Source organism: Homo sapiens, chromosome 18, assembly GCF_000001405.40.
Source record: "Homo sapiens chromosome 18, GRCh38.p14 Primary Assembly".
NCBI classification, from domain to species: domain Eukaryota; kingdom Metazoa; phylum Chordata; class Mammalia; order Primates; family Hominidae; genus Homo; species Homo sapiens.
Genome location: NC_000018.10, coordinates 76,260,120 through 76,266,942, shown reverse-complemented (window position 1 = coordinate 76,266,942; position 6,823 = coordinate 76,260,120). Strand labels below are relative to the sequence as shown.

Below are 6,823 nucleotides of genomic sequence, written 5' to 3'. Positions count from 1 at the left end.
TGCCATCAGCAACATTTGAAGAACTCAGACTCATGTGAATTCTGGATCCTCCAAAGACACATGCAGGGGCAACACTACTCCTCCAGTGAGTGCCACTTGTGCTGCCACATGAGCAAAAATTGACCGGGGACGCTCCGCTGTTCTCTGCCCTGAGCTGCGCCATCGTTGGCACCTGCCCCAGGCTTTCCCGTGAAGTCCTTTTGTCAGTTCCCTAATTCTTCCTTGCTCTTCCTTGAACATTTCCAGTTTGAACATATATAGTAAAAACTAAGATTTCTTTTCTACATACAGGTTTTGTTTGTTCCTTTACAGGTAAAAATTAAAGAATTAAGCTGGACACGAAAATCCTAATCATATGAGCGTGTTCCCTTCCCTTCCCTTCCTCCCTCCCTTCCTTAAAAAGAATTAAGCTGGATATGGAAATACCAATCATATGAGAGTGTTTCCTCCCTCCCCCTTCCCTTCCCTTCTCCTTCCTTCCTTTCCTTTCTTCCTCCCTCCCTTCCTTCTCCTTCCTCTTCCTTCCTTCCTTTCCTTCCTCCCTCCCTTCCTTCTCCTTCCTCTTCCTTCCTCCCTCCCCTTCTTCTCCTTCCTTCCTTTCCTTCCTTCCTCCCTCCCTTCCTTCTCCTTCCTTCCTTCTTTCCTTTCTTCCTTCTTTGCATCCTCCCTCCCTCTCTCCCTCCCTTCCTTCCTCCTTTTCTCTGTCCCTCCTTTTTCTTTTCTTTCTTCTTCTGCTTGTTTTTGCCAGACGTAGATGAAACAGAAAGTAACTGGAAATTTCATAAGCCTCTGATTTCCTGATCTCAGTAACAAATCATGCGGTGCTCTCCGGCTTCTCGGGGAGGAGGCTGGAGCCTGGGCTGCCCCTCCGCCCTGCCTGAGAGCTGCTGGACTGTGCTTCCTGGAGACGGCCTTAGCGAGGGGCTGACTGAAGCTGGGCCCTGGCCCATGTTTCTGTGGGTGCGGGGGGCCTGGGCGGTGGCATTGCCCAGCCAGTGGCCCAGCTTCAGCTTGCTTCCTGGGATTTCACAGGATTTCTGTTCTAAACATGACCATAGGTAGCACAATAAGCATTATTTCCCCCTTGGAAAACTCCTTGCCTCCACCCTCCCCTCTGCCTGCCCCTGCTCCCAAGCAATCATCCTGTGAGTCTCTGCTAATGGTGCTTCAGAGAAAGATCAAAGTTTCACAGATAAGTGTTCTTTTACACAATGTTCCTGACACTCCATTTGGTAAACAGGAATTTTTTTTTTTTTTTTTTTTTTTTTTTTTTTTGCTTAAAAGAACATATAAGCATGCCAAGTGAGATGGATCTCTTGCATTTTCTCATCTTTGACTGCAGTACTTGTGCAGAGTCCAATCCTAGCACTGCCCCAAAACAACCAAACTTGGCCTGTTTTGCACATGGAGAAAAAAAGTTTGTAGAAAAATGTAAGAAATAATGCCAAATGGAAGCTGGAGGCTGGTAAGCATCTCAGACGTCCATCTCTGGCATTGGATGGCAGTCTTGTTTTCTCTTTAAATAATGTTTTTGAAATAACCTCTTACAAAACTTCTTTCTGCTCAGTGCCTTCCTAACAAATAAGGGAATACTGTCCCCCATCTCTGACCTTTCTTCACAAAAGAAAATGCCCGATAAACAAAAACACAAAACAAAAGGGGACTTAAGTCCCCCATAGTTCCTGTTACAGCTTCTCCAAAAATATGGGCTCATCAGCAACACAGATATAAAACCAAAGGCTCCATTTAACACCGTGAGGATGGATCTTTAGGATCTTTCCTTTCTTTTCTTGGTAATTGCAAACAGATTGTGATGACTGTCGGGAACGGAGGCTTTTTCTTCCCAGGCGTGGTGATGGCCGAGCCTGAGAGCCTGTGAGATAGTTGTGAGCTGACGAGGGGCTCTTGAGCAGGCTGGAGTGCGCTGTCTACGCAGTCACCACCTGATGCCCTATTTTCAGGAACGTGTGTGTGTTTACTTTGTACAACAGCAGGCAGCGTCCCTGACTTTGGGTGAAATGGCCATTTCAGGTACTACAGGGCAGATATTTGTCCTCACCTTTGTTTCTCCTGGGCCTCCATGGGGATGCTGTGGACAGGGTGCTGGGATGAAAAGCATTCTGCAAGACGCGTGCTCGTCCATCTGATCTCCTGCCCTCCTGGGCGCTCTGGGAAACTCCCTTGGTTTTCTTCTTGCCTGACTGGCAGCAGTTTTGAAGACTTTGCTTTCTAAACCTTGGGACAGGACTTTGCTCCCTAGAACGGAGAGCCTTAGGAAGAGGACTTCCTGAGGGGACGGCACAGGAGATGGAGGTTCAAAGGCCCAACTGGTGCATCCACCACGTCCGCCTCTCAGGATGCCTGCCTTGCCCTCTGCCCTGCCCTCCACCCTGCCCTCCGCCCTGATGCCTGTTACTTCCCTGCCACCAGAAGTTGCCAAGATGGGCTGAAGCAGCTGGAGCAGCTGAATGGAGGACAAGCCTCTTCATTCCTTCACTGATCCATTACCGGGATGTTTAAATGCTTTCTGAATCTCCTTGGCCCAGTTCTGGTCGCTTAGGAACAGAAAAGCGTTGCTTTTAGCCCGCTGCATTTAACTTCCGTTACTCTTTGCACGAGTCTTTTGTATGTTTGCCAAAGAGGGAAGTTCTGACACGTTAGTGTGGTTTGCACAGCCTTTTGGAGGTGCAGTGTTTCATACAATGTGAATTTCTAAAATTCCGAAGTGTGACACGCCCCCTTACCTTATTCTTATGTGTGTAATTAAGGCCTAGCAGTGACACTTTAAGATAGGAGACATGCCCTGTCAGACAGATTTTTGAATGTTTCAAAGTTGTTACTGCACCCACTATATATTAATATATTCCAGGGCTTGGTTCCTGCAAGATCTGATTCATTCACTTCTATGTCCAAGACCTGATTCCTCTATTCTGCATTAAAATTTTTCATTAAAAAAAAAATCAAAGAGCAAAGTTGCTGAGTGAGCAAAGGACGGATTGGCCTCTCAGCACTGGGACTCCCTACAGACCAGCTCGCTGCCCTAAGAAAAATGAGTCGATGGGCCCAGCTCAGTCCCTAATGAACGGCAGTAGATCACATCACAAAAACTAGACACGCATAATTTGGCACCATTGACAGCAGCCTCCCCACCAAAGGCTTGGGGCTTTTATGTCTGAACGAATGTGAAGCTTGGAACTATCTTTGACCTTAAAGTGTGAGAGGGCTCTGTGCTGGGGAGGAGAGGGAGGCAGGTGAGTGGGGTGCGGGCAGGAGGGGTGGGTGTGGCCCATGGGAGGCTGCCTTGCCCCACCCAGTTCTTGGGTCTCTGGGTCTGGGGTTCTCCTGTCTGGGAAGAAGCCCAGGGTCCCATCCTCGCCTTGCTTGGCGGACAGGCAGCCCTGGAGGGGGCGTTTCCCTCCATCAGCAACCCAAAGGGCACCCAGCCCGAGGAACTGGCAGAGAGGGTCGGACACTGGGACAAACACTCGTAAATCAGGGCTGTCCCGATTAAATCAGGCATGGATGGCAAGTAAGTTATTAGCTGCCTGTGAAACTAATTGTGATACGGATACAGTCATTTTTGCAATGTCTTTCAAACACCAGTTGTGATGGGAAACAGCTGTTAGATCCAGGAAAAAAAATAAAAGGAAGGAAAGAAAAGAAGAGAGCTCCGGATTCAAAATCATAATAATGTCTGTCTTCTCTATTCCCTTTCACAAAAGCTCTTAGATTCTCCTATTCTCTCTAGACAATTACTCACAGCAGGCGGGTCAGCCAGGAGGAGCGCAGGATTGCATTTAAAGTTCATCTACTGAGGGGGAAAGACAGAAAGAGAAAAAAGGATCCCTTCTGTTAATGGGGGGGTGGGGGATGGCATGTTTAAAATAGGTTAGAGATTCAGGTTAAAAGGGGGAGAAGAAGTCACAGAATAGGAGTCGAGACATAAATGGTGCCGTTTGACTGCTGGCTTAGTCTATAAGCACGGATGCAAGGGGAAGGTGTTTAGAGTCTTCATTTAAGGCAGCAATGAAGAAGGTAATTAAACTGGAACACTGGAGACGCAACTGTGGAGGAAGAGTGGGCATTTCCCCTGAAGTCAGGCCCACTGCTCCCTGGCTGGAGCTAGTCAGGGGGTCTGACCGCTCCCCGGGCACGCTCTCTGCCCCTTTCCTCATTGTTTCCATCCTCCAGCTCTTCCTGAGAAGCAGAGCATGTTGTTCATAACATCGTGAAAGGAGAGGGAGTGGGAAGAATCGGCCCTCCCAGGGCTGCCCTGCGAGGAGCCTTCAGCCTCCAGCCTTCAGCGCCACGTTTCCAGCCTCCTGTTTGTTCTTCAGCAATGTTTGTATACAGCATCTTACAAGACATCTTTTCAATGTAGTAACCCTGTGTCATTACTTAATGCCTCATACTTGATGCTGCCTGGGGTGGAGAGACAGCAAGTCACCCACCCATAGGAGCTTGTTTCCACACTGCTTCCAGTGGGCTCTCCGGGCAAGGCCACCGCCTTCCCTGCTGGCTGTCCTGGTGTCCTGTGCCTTGAGACCCCCAGGAACCCCTTGAGAGCCTGTTCTGAGCTGGGACTTGTCTATCCTCCTCTGGGTCCTGAACACTCAATCAGTCCTGGAATGGAGCAAAATCCTTTTGTCTAGCACAGGCCAAGTTTTGAGAGTTCTTCCCCTGCTTTTTGATTTCAGCAAGGCAATAAATAAACTTAAAATATGGATGCCTATGACTCGGTCCTTTATTTCTCATCTCCAAGATAATGAACTCGAAGACTATTAAAGTTGTACAGATAATTAGAGGCCATGGATCAAATGCCTCATGGCCCCCTGTTTGTGAACATTAAGATGTGCTCTGCCCCCACGCCCACTTTCGGGAAAGGGGAGGCCTCCCAAGAGGGAGGCCTGGCTCTGGGACCTTGGAGCCCCCTGTCATGGCTGCACTGTCTGGGGGTCCAGAGTTCACAGAGCACCTCTGCGAGTATGGGGAGCATAGGATGAGAGAGAAAGTCCCCAATCTTGCCATACATGGCTGGCCCTGCCACCCTCCCTCCCAGCGCTCCCACTGGCCCCCCGAAAAACCCACATAATTCCAGAAACAGAGCTGTTCTCTTCCCTTCTGACCATGAACATGTCCTCAGCACCATGCACGGAGGGTCTCTGAGCTGAGTGTGCAGGTCTGCATCCTGCTCAGAGCCCTTTTCTCCTTCCTTGACTCAGACATCAGAGAGCAAATGTGTCTGAGAGCAAATGGCAGCTCTCCTATGGGTTTAGAGAGCCAGGCGTCCTGAGGGTGTGTGTCGCTGGTGGGCTGCCTCCCACACAGGCTCAGCAGAGGGGAATGAGGGAGGCACTTGCTTTTTTCCTTTTTAACTTGCTCCACATTCTGCGAGGACATGCCTTGAAAGCCTTTAATCAACTTACAAAAGTGTCTACAAAAGAAAATCAAGATTCTGATTCTAAATTTCAAGTTTTTTCCCTTCTTTTACATTCCTTTTCAACACAATTCCTGCCTCTCCATACCCATCATTCACAAATCTCCCTCCTCATATGAGCCCGGAGACACAGGCCCCAGTGGGAGGCGATGCCAGCCTGTGCTCTGCTCCCTGCACACAGCGGTGGAACAGGGACTCCGAGAGAGAGCAGCTCTTGTTCTTGTTCCATTCGGGTTTTCAGGGATGCTCTCCCGGGAGGCTCAGGGCCTGGCAGTGCAGGCATTGTGATGCTAAGTTTGCAGTAACTAGACATCAGCGAGCACGCAGCCTCATTTTCTGCTCCACACAAGGCTGTACTGTATGGATCGCTCATTTCTTCCTGAGAAATATCTTTTAAAGCCTCGCTTCTTTCCTGGGGAAGAGAGGAGCCGCCACAACTGCTTTTCGCCACCCAAGTTTCAGTTTCTCTGGCTACCAAATCCCCCTTTGTGCCAGAAATACAGTGACTAATAACAATGAATAAAAAAAAGTTGAATCTGGGCCGGGCGCGGTGGCTCACGCCTGTAATCCCAGCACTTTGGGAGGCCGAGGCGGGTGGATCATGAGGTCAGGAGATCGAGACCATCCTGGCTAACAAGGTGAAACCCCGTCTCTACTAAAAATACAAAAAATTAGCCGGGCGCGGTGGCGGGCGCCTGTAGTCCCAGCTACTCGGGAGGCTGAGGCAGGAGAATGGCGTGAACCCGGGAGGCGGAGTTTGCAGTGAGCCGAGATTGCGCCACTGCAGTCCGCAGTCCGGCCTGGGCGACAGAGCGAGACTCCGTCTCAAAAAAAAAAAAAAAAAAAAAAAGTTGAATCTGACCAGAATTGATGTGAAGGGATGCTGCCTTTCTGATTCTGAAGATTTGCTCTTGTGTTTGACATTACAATTAAAGGCATGTTTTGGATGAATGTCTTCACAAGCAGAAATCATGAATGAGCTAAACAGTATCCCAGAGGGGGTGTGTGCTGAGCACGATGGGCATAAACTTTTTATTATATACATTGCTGCCCCTGTAATTAGTACAGTGCTAGAAATATGATTTATTGATAGTGCAAACACATTTGTAATGTGCTGAGGGTGGGTGTGTGCTACATGGAGCACTCCGGACACTGGATCCCTTGGAAATGCAATTCTGTGAACCCCCTCCCCCCCACCCCCAGGACTTTGCTTTTCTTCTGGATTTGCAACTCTTTTATTCAGCTGTCGTGTATGGAACTGAAATCATAACTTTGCCAAATACTCAAATGTTGATTGGTGGCAGAGAATGCCAATTTCTTTGTATGCGGGATAGACCAGAATTCAAATGAAAAACAGGGAAATAAAAGGGATATTAAAGAAAATAA

The 6,823-nt window shown here is 48.7% G+C and overlaps 2 annotated features.

The window, feature by feature from the left end:
- Nucleotides 434–933: an enhancer, noted in NCBI's record as "H3K4me1 hESC enhancer chr18:73977965-73978464 (GRCh37/hg19 assembly coordinates)". NCBI's record gives its function as "activates a minimal SCP1, AML or CMV promoter by ChIP-STARR-seq in primed H9 embryonic stem cells {active_cell/tissue: H9 hESC(primed)}" and the evidence as "EXISTENCE:reporter gene assay evidence [ECO:0000049][PMID:30033119]".
- Nucleotides 3,540–4,193: an enhancer, noted in NCBI's record as "H3K4me1 hESC enhancer chr18:73974705-73975358 (GRCh37/hg19 assembly coordinates)". NCBI's record gives its function as "activates a minimal SCP1, AML or CMV promoter by ChIP-STARR-seq in naive H9 embryonic stem cells {active_cell/tissue: H9 hESC(naive)}" and the evidence as "EXISTENCE:reporter gene assay evidence [ECO:0000049][PMID:30033119]".